Source organism: Homo sapiens, chromosome 9 (genome assembly GCF_000001405.40).
Source record: "Homo sapiens chromosome 9, GRCh38.p14 Primary Assembly".
NCBI lineage: Eukaryota > Metazoa > Chordata > Mammalia > Primates > Hominidae > Homo > Homo sapiens.
Genome location: NC_000009.12, coordinates 31582145 through 31608252, shown reverse-complemented (window position 1 = coordinate 31608252; position 26108 = coordinate 31582145). Strand labels below are relative to the sequence as shown.

Below are 26108 nucleotides of genomic sequence, written 5' to 3'. Positions count from 1 at the left end.
TTCAAGACTCATCAGTACTGAACTCAATGTTTCATTTCCTTGCAGATAATTTTATGATAAGAAGGATCTTTAATATCAGGCAGATAAAAATAATGGGAAGTAAGACAGGTTGGGATTTATGATATTTTAGCTCTTTAACCTATCTCTGTGTTTTCTTACCTATGCATTAGGATCCATACTTCTTAATGTGCTTTTCACAAAGTACTTTGAGAATATCATATCAATGATTTATAGTACATAAATGATTCTTTTACATTTATACATTTTATTCTAATTTTAAGTTATGCCCAAGCATTAACCATCAAGTCAAAACAAATTATTATAAGTACAATAAATTATATTTTAAATCATAAAGTTATTTTCCATTAGCGTAAAGGAAAAGAAACAAAATAGGAAGGTCAGCATTTACTTTATAATAGGCAGAATATATTTTACCTTTTTAGAAAGAGCAGCGAAATTTTCAGGGATTGAATGCCATTACTGCCTTGTGAGTTTAATTTTGTCCACTCATCTGAGGCCTGGAAGTTGTATCAATATTCCATGCTCAGGAAACTATATGAAGCTAGCTATTGCTAGATCTCAGATTTTGTGTAGAGCAGTTGTTAGTGATGAGATGTGAGAGAAAGACAACAATCTGAATGTTACATGAGAATGGGTTCAATTTTTTCTGTATTAGAGTTGCCTAAATATATGATCTACATGGGATTCCCCTAAACATATTTGTGTTTCAGAAACTTTACTCATGCATCAATATACAAGTCGAATGTTGAGAGGGTAAGAATTAGAATCTGCAGGTCCATCTGAAGTCTATTCCAGAATTTTAGATGAGATATACTAAGGAGAGAAGCAGTGGATATGAAGAGAAAGCATAGATTGGAGACATATGTAGGAGATGTAACTGAAATATCTGGGTTATTTTTCATTGGGAATGGAGGGGACAGTGGTTAGGTGACAGGGTTAATGATGTGCCGTCTACCCCCACAGGAAGTATGAAAGACCCCTGTGTTTAGGTGAAAGAAGAATGGCATTATGTTTGTCACGTATTGCACTTGACATTGCTATTGGAAATATACAACAGAAAGTTGATGGTCTGGGTAAATAAGTCTGGACCAGAAATCTACTTAGGAGATTCATTTTTCAAAGGTGGCATTTGATTCCTTGATTTTATGTGTGGTCACCAGTGGAATGTATAGAATGAGAAGAGAAAATATGGAGAAAACATGTCTCAAGTAACAGAGAGAAAGAGGAGAGACAATGTGGAAGACTCAGACAAGCTTTGGAAATGCCTTCCAGTTACAGAGATCCACAGTGTAAATGCCTCCCAGGGAGACCTGTGTGATGAATGCTGAAATGGGATCTGTATAAGTGGCAAAGGGAAATCACAAGTGTTGATGGTAAGAATAGTGTCAGTGCGATGACTGGGCCAGAAACCTGGCAGTGTTGGTTGGAAGAGAGAGAAATGAGAGAATATATAATTCTTTCAAGAGAATAGTTTTATAGGAAAAGAACAAAGCAAGTTAATGTTATGTAGTTAGAAAGCTATGCAGCTTCAAAAAGCATTATTATTATTATTATTATTATTTTAAATAAGAAAGACTTAAAATTGCATATATATGAAGGAAAGAAACTGGGAGAGAAATGGTCTGAATCACATTAGTATCATAGACACAGCAAGGGCGTGAGGACTTAGAAGGAGATGGGAGCTAAAGCCTGGGTGAAAGGATGTAAAAAAAAAAAACAAAATGCAGGGAGACGGGAAGGTAGAATGAGTATTGAAATAGGTAAGTGTGTTAGCAGGACATTTCAGATAGAAACTATTATTACCTTAATTGATTCTACATATAGAGGTGAAGGAAAAAAAATGTAGTACAAAAACGCCAATTCAAAATGGATTAGAAACCTAAATTCAAATCTTAAAACTTTAAAAATTCTAGAAGAAAATGTAAGAGAAGAATTTTGACCTTCGGTTAGGCAAAGATTTTTCCAAATGCAATACCAAATGATCCATAAAATAATAAATTGATAAATAGACTTAATTAAAATGAAAAATGTCTATTCTGTAAAAGACTCTAGTGAGAGAATAAAAAGACTGAGTATATTTTCAAGTCATTTATTTGATTAAGAACTTGGGTTCAGAATATACTTAAAAACTGCAAAACTCAGTAATAAAAAAACAACTCAAAAAAGAATGCAAAAATGTAAACACTTTACCAAAAAAGATGTACTTCGGTAAATAAGCAATGAAAAGATGATCATCAATACCACTGTCATAATACAATGCAAATTTAAAAAGCACAATAGCATACTGTTATATACCTATTAGAACAATTACATTAAAAAAGATGGACCATACTAGTTTTAGGCAAAGATACGGAGCAACTGGAGCTCTCAAAGACTGCTGGTGGGAATGTAAAATGGTACAATTTTTGGAAAATAGTTTAGCAGTTTCTTAAAGAGGTTAGCATACTCCTATCATATGACCCAGCCATTCCAACCTTGGATATTTACCCAAGATCAAAGAAAGCACATATTCATAAAAGACTTGTAAATAAATGTCCATAGAAGCTTGATTTGTAACAGTTCAACCAGAAAACAACCTAAATGTCCAGTAACAAATAAATGGATGAATAAACTGTGGTATATCCATTCAACAAAATATTAATAATAAAAAGGAATGAATTATTGATACAACCCAACATGGATGGATCTCAAATAACTTATACTGAATGAAACAAGCCAGACCAAAAGAGTACATTTATATAAAATTCCAGAAAATACAATCTAATCTATAGTGACAGAAGGCTAGTCAGTGGTTGCCTGGTATGATAGTTTGCTAGGGCTGCTCTAAGAAAGTACCACAGACTGATGGTTTAAACAACAGATATTTTCTCTCAGTTTCAGAAGCTAGAAGTCTGAAATCAGGTGTTGGTGGGTTGATTTCATTCTGAGATTTCTTTTGTTAGCTTGCAGATGGCTGCCTTCTCTCTTTGTACCTCACGCGGTCTCCTCTATGTGTAAATATACCCTGGTATCTCTTTGTGTGTCTTAATTTTCTTTTCTTATAGGAACACCAGTCAGATCAGATTAGGGTTCATCCTAACAGCCTTGTTGTAGCTTAATCACCTCTTTGAAGGCCTGTTTCCAAACACAGTCATGTTTTGAGGTGCTAGGGATTAGGACTTCAACATATAAAATGGGAGGGGAGGGGATGGGCAGTGCACAATTTAGCCCATACCACCTAGTGATGGCAGGTAGGAAGAGGGATTACATAGGGACAGAAGAAAATTTAGGGGACTGATGGAGATGTTGATTTTCTTGGTTGTAGATGATAAATTCCTATGGGCATAGATATGCCAAAAATATTCAAATTGTACATATTAAATGCATGCAGTTTTTTAATGTGTAAATTGTATCTCAATAAAGCTGTCAAGACATGTTAGAAGAGCTGTGGATTGAGTTCTTATAAAATCGCTGCAATAGGACAACTATAAATCATATCAATACCATTTTAGAGTAACAGGATATATTTCAAGCCACATTCCAGATAACAGCTGTTTTTCATAACTTTTGTGGACAAATGTTTGCTAGTAGGAAATATAAAAATCCTCTTCTGTAATTAGAGATCTCATAATCTGATTGTGAAGACATTGCATGATGTATATAAAAGAGAAATGAGCTATTTTGTTATAATTGGTTCAAAATATTTTTTGTCCAATCAGTAAAACCAATCCCTAGAGCAATTTTCAGAAGAGACACATTCATAGGACAGGGCTCTGGCACCCACGGCTCTGAGGTATAATGTCCAAACATGCAGGAAACCTCATTTAAATTTGAATTAAATTCCAAAAACATACAGCTTCCTAAAGCAGCTCACTCAGTCCAGTCTGGGGATATGTCAAATTTTCACTGCAATGAAAGACAAAAGGCAAGAATTAGTGAAAATAGACTTACCAAAATGTTCCAAACAAGGCTGAAGTGTTACTAAATTGTACTATAGAAAATTTTCTGAATGTCATTACTATCGGTTGACATGGTCCCAACTCAACAGATCACACAATTAAAAAGTATTGCTTAGTAATCTGTTGGGCGATTGTTTGCGGGGTCAACAGCAAAACGGAAGACTATTACTGAGGAAACTGATATTTTTTTCTTGACAATTTTGGTACAAAAATAAATAAAAGTTAAGGGAGGGGCAGGGAGCATCCAATGCTAGATAACACACTTATTTATCAGATTATTCAAGAAAGGGAACAGGGTTTCTTTTCCATTCTTTTCTCCATATTAATTTAGTCTACCATTCTTCTCCATGTTAGTTAGGAGATGGTGTGTGTAGCTGACACAAGATGGTATTGTGCTCCTTCAACTTGCTTCCTGCGTGAGAAGCAATCTCTGTGTGTAATTGTGCCACAGATGTATTCAATGTGAGAGCAGCACCTCCTAGAAAAAAAATAGTACTTTGTTTATTAAATATGGTTTAAGAAAATGTAAGAGTAGCCTCTTTTCTAGTTTTAAACATAAATGAATATTTTTGTGATGCTCCTGGCATGTGGCCTCAAATATTAATATTTGTATGTTCTAATGAAATGCTATTCAGAACATAAGAAAGAACAAATCTAATAGAGAAAATTAGAGAAAGAATTGTGCTGTCTGTTGATGCTATATTTAAAATGCTGCAGCAGCAAGTTCATCTTTTTTTGAAAAGCTATACCGTGGAAAGACCAATTATCTGTTTATGTTTTTTTCTTTTTAAACTTCAATGGGCTTTTCAAATCACAATTTTGTTTTGCATAATGAATATCTAGCATTTAAGTATAATGCTAAAATTTGAATACAAGATTGGCCGAATAGTTTTATTACTGACAAGAATATTGTTAATGATAACATTTTGCAACCATATTATACCAGGAAATTAGTAGCACCAAAAAGATTAATCTCTAGCCTGGATATCTGGTGCACAAGTTCCCTTGATCTGAAAAACTTGTCTCTTTCATTTCCACCTCAGAAAACGCCCATATTTCAAGGTACTGCTTATTGTGACTTTCTCAATAAACCCATCCACATCTTCTGGTTTAAGTGAATCTCATGTGCTCCCATTGTGCAAAATACATTTCTCACAGCACTTAGGGTAGCTTGCTATGTGATAATTATATTCATAAACATGTATCTCCTCTATAAACATACAAATATTTTAGAATTAAGGGCAATATCTTGCTCATTTTGATTCAGTGTTCCTAATGTGGGGTAAAGAGTAATTCACTAATAAATATTTGTAAATTGCCTTTTTAAATTAAAAAGATATACAGAAATCTCGAATCAACCTCATATTTACTACTTATGATTAAATAACTTGATAGTATAAAAATTATTCTTCATTCTATATTCACAGATAAGCATTTCTTTATGATGAAAGATCTGAGGTTTATTTCCATACTCTTCAATATATTCAAATTGTAACCTCTCAGAGGTCAGGATTATCTTGACTCTGTTTGAAAATCCTATAGATTTTCACATTAAAATGTTTTATTTCATTCTGAACTGGCCTCTTTCAAAAGCAATTTTAAATGCCCATTTCGAAGTGTTGCTAAGACAACTTATAGGAGATACAGTTAGGGAGCTAATTAAGCTCTGGGTATAAATTAGTTCAGGCAGCTAAAGTCTGAAAGGAAAAGGGAGAGCAGGTCTACCATTTCTAAAGGTACATAGTGGAGACAATTGCCCTTTTTGATAAAATGTTTTAGGGGAATCAGTTTCAGGAGGATGAGGCTAATTCCATAGCCAGCTGCTATGATAACCAAAAGTATTGAAATGTTAGGACAACTAGATGTTTTGAGTTAAGATTCCAGGAATACCTAATATTAATGTAAATTAAACACAAGTCACCAAAGTTTGCTGTAAAGGACCAGAGAGTAAATATTTTCGGATTTGTAGGCCATATGGTTTTGGTTACACTACTCAAATATGTCACTGTTGCAAAATAGCCATAGATGCTAATAATTTAATAAGGTGTCCAGAACTGGCCCTTGGGCTATAGCTTGGTGACCTTGTTTAATAAAGTACAAATGAAGGAAAAATTGGAAATACTAGAAATACCAAAAGTCATTACAATGACTATAGAGAACCACATTATGAGAGTAAGAGCAGAAGTAGCCAAAAACTTGACTTAGAAAGAAGCACTAAACTGTCACAAATTGTGGTTAGGCAGCAAAGAAAAGTAATGAAGGAGTACAGAGTCCAATTATTGAGTAATTAGTTGAACATAATCTAAGTATAGTTGTAGAATAATATTGAAGAAAAATTTGTATCTTAGATTACAAAGAGTTGGACACTTGTGATCTCTTGTAGATGTGACAACTGTAAAAAGGACTCAGTGTATTGACCTGTGGACTGGGGAGGAACTGAGAACAGTTGCTTAAAAGTTAAAATAACTGTAGTGGCTTTTTGTTCCTTTTTATGACTTTCCTTAATGACATAGAAAGCTGAAAAGAATACATTAAAAAATAAAATAATCTTAGTTCCTCTGAGATGGTAATTTTGTTTTCTTAATCATATAAGTGGTTATTTTATTCTGGGAAGATAAAGGTTTGAGTATAGAGCTGATAAGATAAAGTAAATATTAATTTTACATAAGTTCAGCATAATCTGTGTATTTTTAATTAAATGTTTATTTTTGAGAAAATTCAGCATTTTAGTCTTGAAAGTTTAATTTGAAATGTGTAATTGATATTAAACTTATGGGCCAGGCATGGTAGTTCACACCTGTAATCTCAGCACTTTGGGAGGCCGAGGTTGGTGGATCACTGGAGGTCAGGAGTTTGAGACCAGCCTGGCCAACATGGTGAAACCCCGTCTCTACTAAAAATTCAAAAATTAGCCGGGGATGGTGGTGCATGCCTATAATCCCAGCTTCTTGGGAGGCTGAGGCAGGAGAATTGCTTGAACCCAGGAGGCACAGGTTGCAGTAAGCCGAGATTGTGCCACTGCACTCCAACCTGGGTGACAGAGCGAGACTCTGTCTCAAAAAAACTTATGATTTTAAGTTAGACAATATAAGGAAAACCTGACTAAATGTATTCATTGTTTACATTTTCAAAATAAGTTGATTTACCATAAGTTTAATTTATTAGATTTATATAATTTGATTAAGGGTTAATATTTTGCTTCTTTGGGTTATGTTCTGTCAAGCTTTCAAACTGCTTAAAAATAAAAACAAATATTTTAAATATAAAATTGAAGTTTAAAATATTTAAGAAACAACCCAATTTTATGAATGGAGTTAGATATTTAAGGAAATTTAGTCTTTTTAGTTTGAGACGATCCAAATTTTTTCTACAGAATAAGAAAAATCTTATTTTTGTATAGAAATAGGTAAATTTTAAATAATATAATAAGATTTGTAGATTGAAATCTTAAGAAAAATAAGGTTTAGACAGTTCATGACAAAAAAATTTACTATTAATGTTAAACCAGAGGAAGTCTTCAGAGCTGTCATCTTTCCTAAAAACTTACAGTGGCATCTAAGCACAGTAGAACATTTGAATCAATTTATGGAATACATGTGGTGATGATGATGATACTGATGAGCACTAACACTTGTTGAATCCTTACTTAGTGCTAAGCACATAAGAAATAGGACCTGATTTAATTTTCCCAAAAATATTTTGAGGTAGGTATTGCCATTATCTTTACTGTGTAGACAAGAAACAGGCTCGGGGTGTCTAAATATTTTGGCAAAAGTCACACAACTAGAAGGTGGAAAAATTAGAGGGAATAAAGTGAAACCTTACACAAAGAGCAAATGCCTAAAACCTTTCACATTCTTTCTGTAAAACTATCTAGAAAATATTTAAGAAGTGGAATGTGGACTGTGCTTTCAAAAATGAGAGTAAAAGAAATTTCTTTCCAAACATTCTAAAAGAGAACAGGATTTATTAACCTGAGTTTCAAAAGCAATTAAAAAATTCTTTTGGTAATTGTTGGTTGTTAGAAGGAAGGAAAGTGTCAGTTTAGATGCAGGAAAACACCTCTAATTTCCTGTAGAATATTTACATTTTTCTGATAATACTTTACTTTATAATAGATTTGAAGTGAATTTTCATACATACACAGAGAATTCCATATACACTTAGAAGGCATATATGTATGTATATGTGTATGTATACGGTGTTATGCATGGTGTGTATTATATGGTGTATATGGGTGTAGAAACATAATACTGGGAAAACAGTGCAAAATATCTCATAATGGCTTTGCAGAACTGGTTAAAGGTCTACATTTAGTAGCTATGCAGTTAACACTATTTATGTTGGCTTAAGGTCAGTGATGCTGTCTTGTTATTCCTTTTGGCATTAATAAAACTCATGTTGGGATATACAGATTCACTGTAGGCAGTTTACCCCACATACTTTCTGATAAGAAACTAATAATCCAGAATGAATGAACAATTTGTACTGAATATAAGTAAGTATCTTACTTCCTCAGAAACTCAATACTTGTGAGAATTATATATGCAAAATTATTTTTAAAGGGAGATTCTAATATGGCATCATAGTGACAAATCATGGCAATACCTTTCTCTCTTCATCTCACCTTCAATACTACATACACACAAACATGCAACTCACAGTCCATATGCATATAAATATAAAAATTTTATAGCTAAATATATATGTGAGTATGTCCTAGTATATTTGTCTTCAACACAGATTTGTAAACCAAACACAAAGGAAATGACACTGTATAGTTTCAGGAATAAAGATGATATATACCAATTGTTTAGCTCCTGTGAGCTAGGGTAAGAATTTTCAAATCCTCAGTCAGCAAGTGTTTATTGAGTGTTCAGAATTCCCTTACAAATGTGTGAAATAGAACAGTTCAGTAATATCACCTACCCCAATCCTATCACAATATCAAGAGAAAAAGTTATAAAAAATACATGCCTATGTTACATGGATTTTTACTGGGATTTTTACTTTTTGTTTCCAAAGATGAGTTATAATTAAAACCTCTTGCAAGTGAGCACACATTATTCATAGTAAGAATAATTCCTGTTAAATAATCTAAAATTTTTGACTATTTTTCTTCAAATAAAGCGAGAATATGTGGAATTAATAGCAAATATTAAAAAATAATCTAGAAAGCATAAATAAACTCTCCATGTGTGCAAATCTATCAAGAGTATTATAAGGTGTGAATAGTTTAGCAATAAGGTTTTTATGCTGGCTTTTCATCATAGAGCATTGCTACATATTATTGTAAGTAAACATTGACCATAATGAAATAGATAGCATTTCCACAAAGCTAGTTTTTAAATGAAGGTTTTGTGTCTCACAGTATATTTTGTAAATGAAGATAAAAAATTATAAATATCTCCATAGCATAGCATAGAGCATTTATAACAAGAAAAAATTAAAATGGTAATTTTATATATACTGTATGTGTGCTCAAATTTGTTGATGAGGAAACTGGCTAACAAAAGGTTAAATATATACCAGTAAATAAATACAGAATATAGCAGAGAGCTGTAAGCTGAATTTAGGTCTTCAAATTTGAACCCATTGCCCTTTCCACTACCTACCAAAAGATATGTTTATTATAAATAACGACTTAATAGACTGAAATTAATGTACATTTACAGCTCATTACATATATTAATTTAAGCATGAACAAATCACACTAATGAATTGAGCAGGTCTTAGGTCGGTGACTTTCAGGTGTCAATCTTGCCCAATATCTTCATTTTAAAGATGTAAAAACCCATAATAGGCAAGATATTTATTTTCAGTCATAGCCATGATCAATTATCTATTGATAAAAAATCTGTAATGAACATTGATTTATAAGTTCATTAAAACAACATAATTACTATATAAGCGTTTTCTTGTTGTGGGGGGAGCTGGGAATGTGGCACAGGTAACTAATATGACCCTATGGCATTTATAATTTCTGCTATACCTCTTTAAACAACCTCTAGCCATAAATACTTCTATGTCAAATCCCTCAAAGCCTACCCATTGCATTATGACTCATTGTAATTAAGCTCCAAATTCTTTCACAGGCAGTCAGTGCTTCAATGATTGACTTGTCCCTCCCCACTGTAACCACATCCTGTACAATTTGCCCAGGTATTGACTTGCTCCCACCATGGAAGGCTGCTTGCAGTACTGCCATGGCACTGTGATCATTACCACTTCAGAACTTTAACATTCTTTTTCACCTTAATCTGGAATTTCCTTATTCCACAGATACACTGAGGGAAAAATATTATATTGAAGTATTGAAATTTCAGTTCCCGAAACACAATCTAAATAAAATCTGAACAAAAAGAGTGACCATAATTTTAAGCAATTTGAGGATTACTGCAACAGACTTTACTGAGATTTTTTCAAGTCTAGAAGCAGGTGCAGGGGCCAGATTAAGACATTTTAAATAATGATTGCACATTACAAAGCCGAGATATGAAGTACTGACTCTTCTTTAAAGAAAAACTAGGCTATTCAAGGATAGAGAAGGGCTGGGGCCTGGCAGTGGTTGGTGCCTGTGATCCCAGCCGTTCGGGAGGCCAAGATGGGATGATTGCTTGAATGCAGCAGTTCAGGACCAGCTTGGGCAACATAGCGAGGCAGCTTTGTTTTTTTTTTTTTTTTTTTTTTTTTTTTTCCTTTCTCTGTCTCTCTCTCTTTTTTGAAACAGAGTCTCACTCTGTCACCCAGGCTGGAGTGCAGTGGTCCGATCTCAGCTCACCGCAACTTCCGCCCCCCGGGTTCAAGCGATTCTCCTGCCTTAGCCTCCCGAGTAGCTGGGATTACAGGCGCCCACCACCACGCCCAGCTAATTTTTATATTTTTAGTAGAGACGGGGCTTCACCATGTTGGCCAGGCAGCAGCTCTGTTTTACAAATTAAAAAAAAAAAATAGCCTGGTTGGTGCCACATACCTGTAGTCCCAGCTACCAGCTACTTGGGAGACTGAGGTGGGAGGAATGCTTGGGCCTGGGAGGTCAAGGCTGCAGTGAGCCATGATTGCACCACTGCATTACTGCCTGGGTGACAAAGCAAGAGACGCTGTCTCCAGAAAAAGTAAAGTTTTTTTTTTTTTTAAGTTATGGAGAGAGGTGCTGGTTAGAACCTTTAAAGAGAATGAAGACTTCCCTTTTAGGTTAGAAGAAACTTGGACATGATTTAGGTTCTTATTGTTACTACAGAAAACTGACTAAAATTATAAATAATTGTATTTATAAATACTTATTATTTTGAAGAAACGATCCTTTATTTAACCATGTATGAGGAAATAAAACCTTGGCTTTCTCAGTGCTCATGCAAAACCCTAGCCTTATGAGACTCTTCACATAATGTGAGTATCAGATGTACAGACTTTGGTAATTGCTCTGATCTGAAAGAATAGTAAAACTCCTCTTAACTCCTAGAAAGGGCCAAATGGTTACAATCTAGACAAGGTCCCTTGGTAAAGCTCTGTCAGAAAGGATGTAGCCTAGAATTTGGAGGCATCTCTAGGTCATAGAAGCTGGAGACACATAAGGCTATCTGGATCACAGTAAGATATTTTATTGATATACTGAAAAGCTAGTATAAGGAGTCCCTTTTAGGGGAGCAGAACTCCTTCCCCTTTGTAAGGAGAGAAAGACAATTTTTCCTATTGACTTACCCATGTGTGGGGTGTCAATACCAATGGTACTCACATAGGATACTTGCTCTGGCTCTCATAGCATCATCCTAGGGGTAAGAACTAGAGCAATGGGCAAGGGGGAGTTACACAGTTATTATTTACTGTGAGTCATTTAATAAGAAATCTGTCTCTAACCCAGAACACTTCATATGCAAATACAGGACAAAATTAATGAAGATAAATATTAAAGAACCCAGCAATATGACCCACTACACAAAATCATTCTTTCCCATCAGGCTTAATTATCTAATAAATTTAGAGCTGAATATTCATTCAGATTTACTCCCTATTATGGTTTGTTCATAAAAATCCATATAGGTAGGAGGAAAAAATAACTGTGATTTTATTTTTAGTTTTATCTTTTGAGATTGCACAATGTGATCCTGATATTTTGTAGGAGTACTTTTACTGTTGTTACTTTTCGTGACATTATTCACTAGCTAGTTGTAAAATTGCCTTAAATATTTGGAAAAGAAAATGTGTACTCTGGGATTATTTGGCAAAAGGAAAGTTGATACACATAGAGAGGCCGGTAGTAAACAGATGTGTCTATATACTACCAATTGGTGAATCCAGGTGAGAGATATATTTGATTTCATAGTGCATTTTTGCAACTTTTTGTGTGTTTAATTTTAGAATATTAATTAAATAGACAATCCTTGTTTGATTTTTTAAAAAAATTATTCAATAAATCTCACTTAAATTTCTACTATATTTCAGAATTCGTGATAGGTACTGGTATACAGCTGTGAACAAAACAAACCCTCCTCTGTAAAACAGGAAAATAATACAGTAACAAATATGTATGCTACATAACAGTACCTTAGAAAGCTTTGGAATAAGAAAATAAGATAAAGTGGTCAGGAAAAGCATCTCTTATTTACATTTGCAGAAGCTCCTGAAGGAAGTGAGAGAACGTGTAATATGACTGCCTGGGAAACCAAGTTCTAGGCAGTGGGAACAGCTTCTAGAAAAGCCTGAGGCCTTTAGCTATTAGATAAGAAAAAGGCATTGTTTGGATTTGTTTCTCATTTTCCTCTTATCAACAAGATCATTCCTCTATCTTGACTTCTCTTTCTTGAGGCTCTCGCAATAGATTCAGGGCTGCAACTGTCCATGAACTGATCAATGTAGGCAGGAGAATGCAAGGCAGAGACTAATGTAGGACTGGGTTATATGCTCCATCCCTCAAGATAGGGGTGAAGGAAACTAAACAAAATCCAGGAACTGAGAGCCGTTCCAAGAGTGGGTGATGTCTCAGTAGGAAGTTGGGGTAGAGCTTCCAAAAATGGGTAACAGATTCTTGAAAGTCAAAACTAACAATTGTCCACTACAACTCGCCTTTAGAACTGCTAGTTTCCCTCAAAATATAGGACTGTAGAGGAAACTGAGAACTGAGGTGCCTTCTACTCAGAAAAAAAAATTTCAAAATATCTTTCACATAAGAAACTTGTTGGTATCAGTACAAGTTTTTCAGATTCTACTTAGGGTTTAATAAATGATGACCCAAGAAGACTTTACAAATCATGGCAGGAAAACCATGAATCTGCTAGTATAAATGTGATATTACACACAATTTGTACTCATGATTGCTATGGAACCAACTATCCAGAAAAGTCATGTAAGCAAGCAGCTTGCTTACTTATAGAGGCATATATATATATGGATTTGTTTCTCATTTTCCTCTTATCAACAAGATCATTCCTCTATCTTGACTTCTTTTTGTATATATATATATATACATATATACTTCTCTGTGTGTATATATATATACACACACACACACACATACGTGCATATATATAGTACATGCTTTATAGTTGAGAAACTTTCCTAATGTACATTTTACTCTACAAAACTTCTGTTTCTCCTTATCTCTCCTTTTCTCATTCATCAAGGGGAGGAGCTCTGCTAAGCCATTTTCCTATAGTTCTGACCTCAAATAATCATAGAAAATTTGTTCAGAATGAATAAGATTGGTAAGTGATTCTGAAATCAATTTTTTGGTTGTTGTTCTAGAGACAGAGTCTCATTCTGTCACCTGAGGCTGGAAGGCAGTGGTGCAATCAGCCCGCTTCAGCCTCAAACCTCTGGGCTTCAGAGGTCCAGATTCTCCGGCCTCATCCTCCTAAGTAGCTGGGGCGACAGGTGCACACCACCATACCTAGGTCATGTTTTATTTTTTGCAGAGACAATGCCTGGCTATGTTGCTCTAGCTGGTCTTGAACTCCTAGTCTCAAGGCAATCATCTCACTTCAGCTCCACCAAACATTACAGATGTGAGCCACTGTGCCAAGACTACTGTTGTTTTTTAAATATAATGCTTTGTAGGAAGCGACTCTCTTTCCCTCTTTTCCTTACTCTGTCCATTAAATAGGAGTTTTAGTCAGTCATCTAAGAAATGTGAGGGAGAGGCTGGGCGCGGTGGCTCACGCCTGTAATCCCAGCACGTTGAGAGGCCGAGGTGGGCGGATCACGAGGTCAGGAAATCGAAACCATCCTGGCTAACACGGTGAAAAACCATCTCTACTACAAATACAAAAAATTAGCTGGGTGTGGTGGCAGGTGCCTGTAGTCCCAGCTACTCGGGAGGCTGAGGCAGGAAAATGGCGTGAACCCGGGAGGCAGAGAGAGAAAAAAAAAAGAAATGTGAGGGAGAGAGCTTCTGAGTTTTTCAATCCATACTTTCTTTTCTTTACAGAAGATGTGATCTGTGATAAATAACTGGGTAAGAATGGGAAAAACAGTTCTGAATGGGGAGAAGTCAACCTGTCCCCATACCCCTCGTCTTCTTTCTTATTCCTTTGTATGGCTTGCCACAGTTCATAAACAATCTTTCTCTCTGTTCCTGCTGCTTCTGTGATATTAGGAGATAAGTTAGTCCAGCTCTGCCATTACCTAGTGTGTGACCAGGGATTATTGCATGAGACAGTTGAGGGAAAAGAAAATAAATAGACAATTTATGTAACAAGCCTAAGGTGTGTATTCCAGCTGTGATTTGCCAACAATTAAACTTAAATGTTTGTTGTCATGAAGTTTCTATGTTCATTTTTGGTGAGTTCAGAACTTAGAAAACATTGTAATGAATCATTTTCACAAACCAAACAATTTTGTGTGCATTTTATAATTCTGTTTTTAGTGATGCCTATTGCTTAAGAGAGTATAGTACATAGTATTGTTGCAAGTAGTAGTAGTAGCAGCAGTAATAGATGTCATTGATAAAGCTTGCTATGTTCCACGTATTATGACTAGTACTTGTCAAGCTAAAAGAAGAAATTGAGGCAAAATTCATAAAAATAGAAAGTTTATTTGGGCCAAATTTGAGGACTGAGTAACACTGGGAGCATGGATGCAAGTTGAGTATTTAAAGGAGAAAGAAAGAGGCAGTTCCTAAGTTGTGTACCAGTAATTTATACTAATATTAAAACAACATAACCTATTGATCGGTTATACATTGTTTCCTGTATCACACATTCCAGGAACTTGAAGATAATGGGTGTGGAAGCTAGTCAAGAAACTACAGAGAAGAAAAGAACAAAATGCTTCTAAACTATTGCCCTGGGGCATGGGTGCCAGGGTGGGAGAACAGAAGGGTGGAAGTTTACATGACCGAAGTTTTCTCATACTCTAATCTCTCTGGACCTGATAAATTTTGCTTACCTCACATAGCTCAGACTGCTCTACTTTTCTTGTCTCATACTTTATAAGCTTTTTGTTTTCCTTAAATACAAGAAAAAATTCACATGTTGAAGCCCTAACCCTCCAATGTGATGGGCCCTTTGGGAGGTAATTAGCTTTAGATAAGGTTATGAGAGTGGGCCCACGTGATGGCAAGTACCCTTATAGAAAGAGATACCATAGAGATTGCTGTCTCTCTTTCTCTCTCTCTCAGCCACATGAGAATACAGGGAGAAGGTGGCCATATGCAAGCCACAAAGAGAGCCCTCACTAGGATACCACTGTGCTGGCACCCTAAACTCAGACTTCCAACCTCCAGAACTGTGAGAAAATAAACTTCAACAGTGGATGGTATTTTGCTTTGGCAGTTCAAGCAGATTAATTCAGGATGTTTGAGTAATGGCCTTTCCAGTGCCTGTCACTTTAATGTATTAAGTAGTTTAGCATAATGTTCAAATTCTGGTCTTAAATAAGGTATTGAAATGCAAAGATTCATTTTTATATAATTTAACAATTAGTGCTTTTCATTAATAATTTTTAAATAATATGTATAGATACCATTATTAAATATATCTTGGATTAATTTATCTATAGTAATTTGAAGTGTTAAAAGTCAATGTTTAAGATAGTAAAATAATTGATTGTTTCACCTTTTTGCTCTCATGTACTTTGAGATTATATTTAATGTGATCCATTCTACAAGTTAAAAGTTTTTCTTCCAAATCCTACTTTAATATTCAGCAAATACTTTTTATAAACTCTTAAGATTATTCCTAGTATATGTACTCATGTACAAATATTTATTTTATGACTAAAACTTCAAAATAATCTTAATGCTGATATTCCCAATCAAATGAAACATTTATTTGAAAACAAAAATTTGCTTTATTGCAGCTCTGGTTATTAGTACTTCTGTAGTTTGTTGCTACTTTCACATAAATAGAACCCCATTTATCAAATATTATTTTAAGTGAAGTAATTTAAAAATGACATCAAATTGTTACACTAGATTGGACAATCTTGACTTACTTTGTAGTATAAAAGAATCACTTTACTTTGTTGAACTTTTTAAAAAATGAATGAATTATTGCAATATTGCCTTATAATATTTAAAAAATTATTTTATAGTCATTTTAAAAACACTTCTACAGAATTATATATTCATTTAAATTTGACATGCCATTCTTAGCATTTATAATAATGCTATTATTAATAGTTTGTTAAAAGTTGCTTATTCAAGTTGAATCATTTTCTTTTCTTATTTTTTAATCACTCTCTTTTAGATGTGTCTCATCCATTTCATGAATAGAGTTTTGCTTTGTTAACCCATTTGAAGTTATTTTAATAACTGCATTTATACCATTTAAATTTATTGATATGAAAATAAGTTTGGTCTTCTATTATGTTATTTTTTTCCATTTAAAATTTTTGCTTTGGATTTCTCTCTGTGCTCACTGCAGCTTCAAGCTCCTGAGGTTTTACTTTTCATATTTAAAGGAAGTTATTCTAATATTTAAGAAGTTTATGAACAATGATATAGTTTAGTGCTTACCTTTATAATTATATATTCATAAAATATGTGTAATTCCTCTATTTCATGCAGGCTATATATTTTACTATGCTTCCTTCTATCTTCCCACTGCCCTACCACTTTTTAATTGTATGAGATTTATCTTTGGCTATCAAATATCTTTCTAATATACAGTTATTGTTGAGGCAGATTGATTTCCAATTGCCCCAATTCTTTACTTCTCCCTGTATCTATGCCCGTTGACTATATACCTTTGCAGTTCCCTTTGAGGCATAGTCCATTTCCCTGCCTCTTTATTCTGAATTTGTCCATGTGACATATTTGTGAGCACAACTGCAATGCTCTGTAGGAATTTCATCAAATAATAAGAATGATTTATAGAGTTTGGAAAAAATAAATAATTAAATATCAGGCCCGATTTCAAATCACATAATCTCATTTTCCATTAATATATAAACAGTTTTATTCTCTAACTATTTTCAGTCCACTAGAAGTTATGTCTTAAATGCTTAGTGATAAAAAGAAGTATAACATGTGCTCATTTCCTTCAAATAATTTATAATCTCATATGTAAGAACCAGAAACATAAATACAATATAGAGTACAGAAAGAGAAATTTTCACCTTTTCGTTTCAGCTGCATGGTCATTACTGGTGCTGAGAATTGTATATAACTAGTGTTTTTAAAAATTATCTTTATAGATAATGAAACTGAGACTAAGGGACATTAGATAATCTTCCACATTGTGCAATACTTACACAGTGGAGGAGGAATTTAAACCTATAATATCTAAATGAAAAAATAAAAGTGTATTACTATTCTCCAGAGAAACAAGAGCATTGTATGTATGTGTATATATATACACGCTCAAACCCAAAGGTCATCTGCTGCAATATTACCTCTTGCTTGGGAGGAGGCCAGTCTTTTGTTTTATTCAGGCCTTCAGTTGATTGCAGGAGGTCTACCTACATTGTGGAAAGCAATCCACTTTACTCAAATCCCACTGATTTCAATGTTAATCTCATTCAAAAACACCCTCACAGAACTGTCTAGAATGTTTGACCACATCACTGGGCACCATGCCCAGCCAAGTTGACACATAAAATTAGCCATTACAATATGCCTGCTTTGCACTACACATAGTGACGCCTTAGGACACATATGATTATGTAATATGATTATTTCATGTTACCAGGGACTTACAGTTATGGGTTACATTATGGGTTGATGCATTTAGTGACGGAATTATTGATTTGTGCAATGCTCAAGTTTTTAACTAAGTGGAAAAATAAAAATTCATATCTTATCTGTCTCTGAGAGTAAATCTCATTCACTTAGCCAAAAGGATACATTTTTCTCTCAACGTGACACTTCCCGAAGTTCACTTCTGTACTTAGTAAAGTGAAATTTGCCCCATCCTTGTAAATAGCAAAGAAAGATTCAGTCTACTAGAATGCAAACTATTTTGTCTAACCCTTTGTTGCAGAGGCAGAGTTTTGAGGACATGTGGAAATGGGAAGTTGAGACACTTGGAAACTTGCAATTCTTGGTGAGCCCTCTGTCATCAGGCCTGGATACAGAGTCAGAAGATATAGGAAATGTTGTATAGTATAAAAATATCCCACATTTCTGTCCTCCAAATAGCACAGGCTTCTAATAATTAATAATTAAAGTAATAATTCCTCTCCCATCCGACACTAAGAATAATCGAATGGTAAACAGCATTATAAAATTTTATTGCCAGAGTATTATTGAAAATCTAGTGAATATATTCTCAGGATTTGCAGTTTTAACACAGTGCTTTCAAAAGACACCCTAGACCTAAGATTTTTGGTTGATAAAGTAACCAAATTATTTCTATTTGTATAATTTTCAAAAAACACATCTGCAGAAAGTATATTCCAATGGATATTAAAAGTCCCTTGTTAGGAGAGAAGCTAAGGAAACCTTGTATTTTAAACAATTTTGCATACGTGTAACTACTGAAGTTGCTGTATAATATAGGAAACAATTTTAAAATGAAAGTAAGATATTAACACATTAAAACTTAGTATAGAGAAATGTAGTAATTGCTGATAAAAGGAATGATAAATCATAGATATTAGACCAGAATTGGTTTTACTCACCATCTATTTGTACATACATTTCAAAGCAATATATATTAAATGTAGCAGATGCTTTTATGAATATTATTTTCTGTACAGAAGTGTAACTGGAATAAAATAATTTTTTAAATGCCACAACTGATTATTTTTAGTTATGAGATAATGCTCTATAATTTAAATAGCCAAGAGCATGATTTCTTATTACCTAGCACATTAATTCAAAGTTGTGGGGTGAAATTCCATTAAGGTGAGAGAAAGTCATATTCACCTATTCAAGTTGCAGTATGACTAATTCACTTTGTTCTGTTGTCTAAAATAAAAATACACTAATTGTGCAAAAATTAGGGTGTGTTGAATTACAGCTGTGTGTGATCAAGAATCTTTATGCAGTACCTGCCTACTCATTTGTAAACCTCAAGAAATCTAATCATCTTTAACACTACATTTAACATTTATGAAGAAAATCTATCATTATGCTCACTGGATATATTTACACATTTATGACTTTTTATCACAACCTGGCCTTTGATGTGTGGCAATCTCTGTATCTGTCCTTTAATTACCTCCCTTACCTTTTTCTCACATTAGATATTCCCAACTTTGATGCCTAAGTACAGTTCACCCACCCATCATTCATTCTTAGAAATGTAAATGCTTCATAAAAGCAATGCCATTTCTTGCCTTACGCATTTTAGAAAAAATAATTGAGGCCATAGGCTTCAAACAGTTTTCCTTGTCCTTTCTGATGACAAGCCAATAGACTATTTCTCCATGCTGAGAGTATGAATGGACCATAGTAATAGTATCCCATTCCACTGGCACTAATCTGTGACTCTTCAGGCCACCCTCTAGCCCTCTGCAAAATCCTTATCCAAAGAGTCACTCACATGTGTTCTCAGAACTGCTCAGTCAGGTACCATATGGCATCTGTCAGATATCGCCTTTGTTACCTATGCTAGGACATGTCTGCCCACCAGGCAGCTCTGCTCTCCTGGGCACCAGTGCCACAGCCACTTGTGTACTGCTGCGTTGGCCAAGTGTCAACATGATGGCTGAGTGCTTCTGTTCCTTTCATTGAGTGCCACCATGCTGCCAAGCCCTGCTGACATCACGTGCCAGGCACAACAGCAGACCATCTGGCACTATGACTTCTGCCATCTCTTTCTAGGAGCTGCTGGGAAAGAGGGCACAGAATTTAAACCTATCAAGTGGCCCGTGATAACATGGGGTAGAATAAACCCTACTTCTTCTCTTAATATTATACTCTAACAGAGGGGACCTTAAGTGTCCTCCTGTGTTTTCTGAGATTTTCCTGAAATTTGTTCATTTCTTACTCAAAGTCCTGTTTTTACATAGGACCTAGATATGAATTCATGAGAACTTAGAGATGATCATATTTGACTGACAAAACTGACAAAAATGATTTGATCCACGAAGTGTCATGTTAAAAGAATGAATACATTCATTAATTGCTTGTTTTGCCTCAGACTTCCTCAGGCAGACCCTAAGACAAGGATTTGCAAGCAAATACTTTATTAAGTGTTCCCAGGAGAAAACAGTAAGGGAGTGCAAAAAGCAGAACCAGGAAAAGGAAGAGGTCAAACAAGGGTGCAATTTTAGGTAAAATCCTGGCTCCAGTCTGATGCCATGGGGAGCTCTGTTGCGCAAACTATACCTCAGAGTTTCTTCTGTGAGGAGGTGGGATTTCTATTTTTTAATGTTTATTTTTTAAAATGACAAAAATTATATATTTATCGTATACAACATAATGTTTTGCTATATGGAGACATTGTGGAGTGGCTAAATCAAGCTAATTCACATATGCATTACCTCACACTTTCCATCAGTCATTGGCTCTGACTGCCCTGAGGTGGGGAAAATCAAACATCAAGCACTTTCTACTGTCTGAGCAGGCAATGGTGGCTCAAGTAGCCTGGGGCATTTGTTTGAAGGCAGTCACAGATGCTAGTTATTAGAAGCAAAAGCACATACATGGCAAGGGAGGGATGCATAGAAAAAGTGGAAGGGGTCCCGGGAGATCTTGGCAGGGTACTGATAGGGTCCACTGCACTCATTTACTAGTGGTGGCTTGCTTCGTTTCTCAATATGAGAATAAAACAATCCTGAAGCCAGCAGAGCCAAAATAAGCCACAATGCTTTTAGAATTATATGGTCATTTTAGTTCAAGGCGACTTTTTTTTTAAACTACAGCAAAAGGATTTTCTCATATTTATTTCATAGAATCATATATTTTTGAAACAGAAGGGAACTTAGTGACTATGCACAGCCTCCCAACAACTTGAATTCTACCCTGTCCTCCAGCCTCACAACTGTCTAGAATAGTGTCACCTTTCAGATGTTGAACAACTTGTTAATAGAGCAGCTATAATAGCTGTCTTTCTGTTGCCACTTTTATATTATTTTCACAATAGTTATTTAACTTGCAAAATATTTCAAAATACAGAAAGAATAAAAAAATAACAGGTACCCATGTTCTCATCAATCATTTAAATAGATATTATTTGACCAAAAATTGGCTGAGGGATCTTTTTTCTGATACAAAAGAGAACATGTTATAAATTCACATAAAGTGTCAGCCTTCACCTTCACCAATACTTTCAGTAATAACTTCTCCTACAAAATGAATCACTCTCTGAAAAGGGCATGTTATTATTCTTTAGCTTTTTTTTTTTTGTAATGTTGCTACATTTCTTTGTAGAAAAATAAGTGAATATTATCACACTTTAACTTTTTTAAAAGATTTATTATTTTGATACTCATACATCTAATTTATTCATCTGAGCAGCCTTAGAATGTTTTATTACATTTCCTGAGTGAAGGACACAGTAAGGATGTGTTCCTGTTTTAGTATTAATAAAAACAGTGCCAATTAGATTTTATGCCTATTTTATATTCGAGCAGTTTTTTTCTATAGGAAATGTGGTATTGCTAGGTTGTAGTATACATGCATCTTCAACTTTTTTTTTTTTTTTTTTTTTTGAGACAGAGTTTTGCTCTTGTTGCCCAGGCTGGAGTACAATGGCACAATCTTGGCTGACTGCAACCTCTGCCTCCCAGGCTCAAGTGATTCTCCTTTCTCAACCTCCCGAGTAGCTGGGATTACAGGCATGCACCACCACGCCTGGCTATTTTTTGTATTTTTAGTAGAGACAGGGTTTCACCATGCTGACCAGGCTGATCTCGAACTCCTGACCTTAGGTGATCCACCCACCTCAGCCTCCCAAAGTTCTGGGATTACAGGCATGAGCCACTGCACCCGGCCACATCTTTGACTTTTTAAGTTTTACTCTTTAGAAATATACTTTAAAGGAATTTCTTGTTTACAAAAATAATTTATAAATTATCTAAAAAAGTCATAATATTTATTTTAAAATAATTTATTACTTAATGTTCCTGAAACATCATCTTTAAGATAATGGGAAATTATGATTTGGGTTAAGTGTGCTTATTTATTTGATTGCTTTTTATTTAACTGAATCAAAATTTCATTTGCTGTGAATTATTATGATAGCATTAAGGATATGGATGCCTAATATTAAAATTGTGTTAGCTGTGGACTTGGAAAGTGCAAAAACCTTTCAAATTTGCTCCAATTTTTCACTCATAGGGTATCTCCTAAATCAGATTGGTTTTTTTATGACTAGCCATATGTAGGTTCTATTTTCTTTTCCTTTCCCACTAAATAAATTTTGGACATGTGTTAAGTCTATCTCTAGAAATGTGTTCATATACAGCCCTCCAACTCTCACATCTATGCCTAAAAGTGCTGTGCTTGGAAACTGATAGAAAGGTATGCTTTTAGCTCTATCTCAAATTTATTTCTCATGCATATCTGTCTTTTAAAGCACAAACTCTTTATGCATATAAGTAAATGCTGACAATGCCAAAAGCTATCCAATACAACATAAAAGAGTTAAGGTTTCCAGTTCTCTTGATATTTTCTCCAAGGCTGTCCTCTTTGAGATGGGTATGGTGTTGTGTTGAAAGGGGTATGATATTAGTGAAAAGGGACTTGCTTTGCTATCTAAATGTAAAACTAGTTCTATTTTATAAACCATCCTCTTCTGAATCAGGTTTGCACTGGAATGCTGTCTGAATTCCAGGGCAAGGAGGTCTTCATGTAGCCAGTAAAAATCTCAAAATATTCTGTCACTTTGTGGTCTTTGTCTTAACCTTAATTATCTTAGAATTTTTAGAGTCCATGATGACATGAGGGAGTGAGTATTGAGATGGAACATGAAAGGATTATAGGTAAAAAAAAAATTCATTGAAGGATTAAAAATAAAAGCCAATTCATGTAATATTCAAGGTACTTTCATATAAAAATTTATTAAATGATAAACCCCAATTCTAAATGGTTAGTAGATAATTATTATTCCCATTTTACAGATGAGAAGGCTGAGGCTCATAGAAAATAGATCATTTGTCTAAGGCTACAGAGTTTGGTTGGAAGTTTTCTGATTCATGCTAGTACTTATTGCTCAGTATAGTCTGATGGCATTTAAGTTTTGAGAATTATATTACAACAAACCTTGGGGACATCAGTTCAAAATATTAATAAGATCTTCAGTTTTCTCTCCAACCACTCAGAGTACATCAGCAACCTTGACCCAGGTAGGCGATTCCAATGGAGCTCTTCAATTTCAGCACATTTCTTGTTTTCTGACCTACATAAGCAAATTGTGTTGCTGGCACAGGAATTAAAAGCAGCCACATTGTAGCCTCTCTAGAAACAATGTAGTATAGGATTTAAGAGCATAAACTAGGCTCAGGATTCAGTTGCTTGGGTTCAAATCTGAACTCTGTGGTTTATTGTTATTATTTATCATATGACTATGGAACAAGTATTTAACTTCAATTTCCTCTTCTGTAAAGTGGAGATAATAGCACCCACCTCACAGAGTTGTTGTGATGAAGAAATGAATCATAGAGTGCCAGAGAAGCATGCCTGCCATACCGTATGTGTTATATACTTGTGTGATGTTCTTATTATTATTATAGTAAGGGAATACTGTAATTAGATAGTACATATTCTGGCATAGGTTCTCTAAGAGCTTGTCTGGACCGTCCAGTCTGTGCACCAGGATCCTGTCTATAAAATGGCTGCCAAGCCTTCCCCAAAAGCTTCTTCATTGACTCAACAACAAGAATCCAGAATGACAGTTATGACACAAATATGGGAACTAAACAGAGCTTTCCAAACAGTTACCCCAAGCTAAAGAACGTATCAGGTCAACACAAATAGCACTCAGGAATAAAAGCAATGTGATTCTGATATTAGGGACAAGGTGAGACAACAAGACGGGGCAACTATAATGTCTACCTGTTACTTGCCATTTCACTGGGAAGCATGAATGAAAATAAATAATAACAGTCCAAGGGAATGCATGGATTTTTTTTCATGTATCAATTAATAATGAAGACAATAATAGTAACAAACTTCTGGTCATGTATTCCAGCAAAATTTCCTTTCTTTACATTCAAGCCTCTGTATCCACTTCCTCATTTCCTGTTCACTATCCAATCCCCTGCTGTTTGATTTATTTCTTCATGGTTCCTTTCCTGTCATAAGCAGCCTAAGTGTCCATCAACTGATGAATGGATAAAGAAAATGTGATACCTATACACAATGGAGTACTATTCAGCCATAAAAAGAATGAGATGCAGTCATTTGTAACAACATGGAAGGAACTGGTGGAGATCATTATGTGAAATGAAGTAAGCCAGGCACAGAAAGGCCAACATCACATGTTCTCACTTATTTGTGGGTTCTAAAAGTCAAAACAATTGATCTTATGGACATAGAGAATAGAAGGATGGTTATCAGAGTCTGGAAAGGGTAGTGGAGGGCTGGGGGAGGTGGGGATGTTTAACAGGTCCAAAAAAATAAAAAACAAGAATGAATGAGTAAGACCTATTACTTGATAGCACAATAGGGTAACTATAGTCAATACTAACTTAATTGTACATTTTAAAATAACTTGAGGAGTGTAATTGGATTGCTTGTAACTCAAAAGATAAATGCTTGAAGGTATGGATACCCCATTTGCCATGATGAGCTTATTTCACATTGCGTGCCTGTATCAAAACATCTCAGGTACCCCATAAATACATACACATACTGTGCACCTACAACAATTTTTGAAAATAAAAAATATGAAAACAAAAAATCTCTAGGAGTATCAACAATAACATTGCAATAACTGATCACATGGGTGACTGATTTTAGTTGTAACAATGAAAGAAGTCATCACAATTTTAAAACATTGAGCCATTTTTGTGGGTTTTTAGTGGCATTAAACTTATTGCTGGTCATTCTCCTTGGTAGGGCTTCCTGGCCACCCCTTTTGACTTAGTTTAGATTTAGTCTTAATCTGTCTAACAAAGTAAAGTGTTGTTCAGTGACCCAATCTTATTTTTATTATTCTTTCACTTATCATTGTATCTTCAGTGACTTCTGCCTTCCTGGTTTAGCTATTGTTTATATGCTGATAACTTTGAAACAGATGTCTTCAGTTTTGATTCCCCTGATGGGAGGGGGATCAATGTGAGCTTTTCCATCAAAGACAAGCTGAGTGTTACAAATGTTGGGATGCCCTTAAAAATATAACTTAAGAAATAATTATACTAATTTGCCTTTGTATTTTTCACAGTGGAATGCATGGTACTTCTAATGTTAAGAACTTACAAGGCACTAAATACATACTAAATAAATGAAATTAATTGTGTAAATTCTTAAAGAATGAAGAAGCAGCTGCTCACTGTGCGTGTCTAAATTATTAAATATAAATTTCTTAATATAAAGTTTAAACTTTGAGAAAAATATCTCCTCATAAATTGAAAAACTTTCATCATTGTTTATAAAATGCAGCCACAGAGTTCTGTGCTTCCCTGAAGAACACACCATGTGTTCCCAACAACTTCTCAGAAGTAAAATTCATTAACCAGCTGTTCTGTGGTTTATGTAAATTACTTTTCCTGGAAGAACTCAAAACTGTAATCAATCAATCACTCAAAAGATTAGTTAGTGCAGTTAAGTCGATAATGCTCCCAGTAAAGTCAACATTCCATATATCTGTTTTTGTTACTGAT

The 26108-nt window shown here is 34.6% G+C and overlaps 1 long non-coding RNA gene across 2 annotated transcripts in view; it reads right to left on the bottom strand.

The window, feature by feature from the left end:
• Window positions 1-245: 245 nt before the first annotated feature.
• The window catches only part of LOC105376010 (uncharacterized), a 29402-nt gene continuing 3539 nt past the window's right edge, over window positions 246-26108 (bottom strand). The window contains exons 3-4 of one of the 2 annotated variants that reach the window (NR_188504.1): window positions 17790-17855; window positions 246-3906 (exon numbers count right to left, since the gene is read on the bottom strand). This is a non-coding gene — a long non-coding RNA (uncharacterized LOC105376010). The remainder of the gene's footprint in view (window positions 3907-17789; window positions 17856-26108) is intronic. The other variant, NR_188505.1, reaches the window with a different exon arrangement.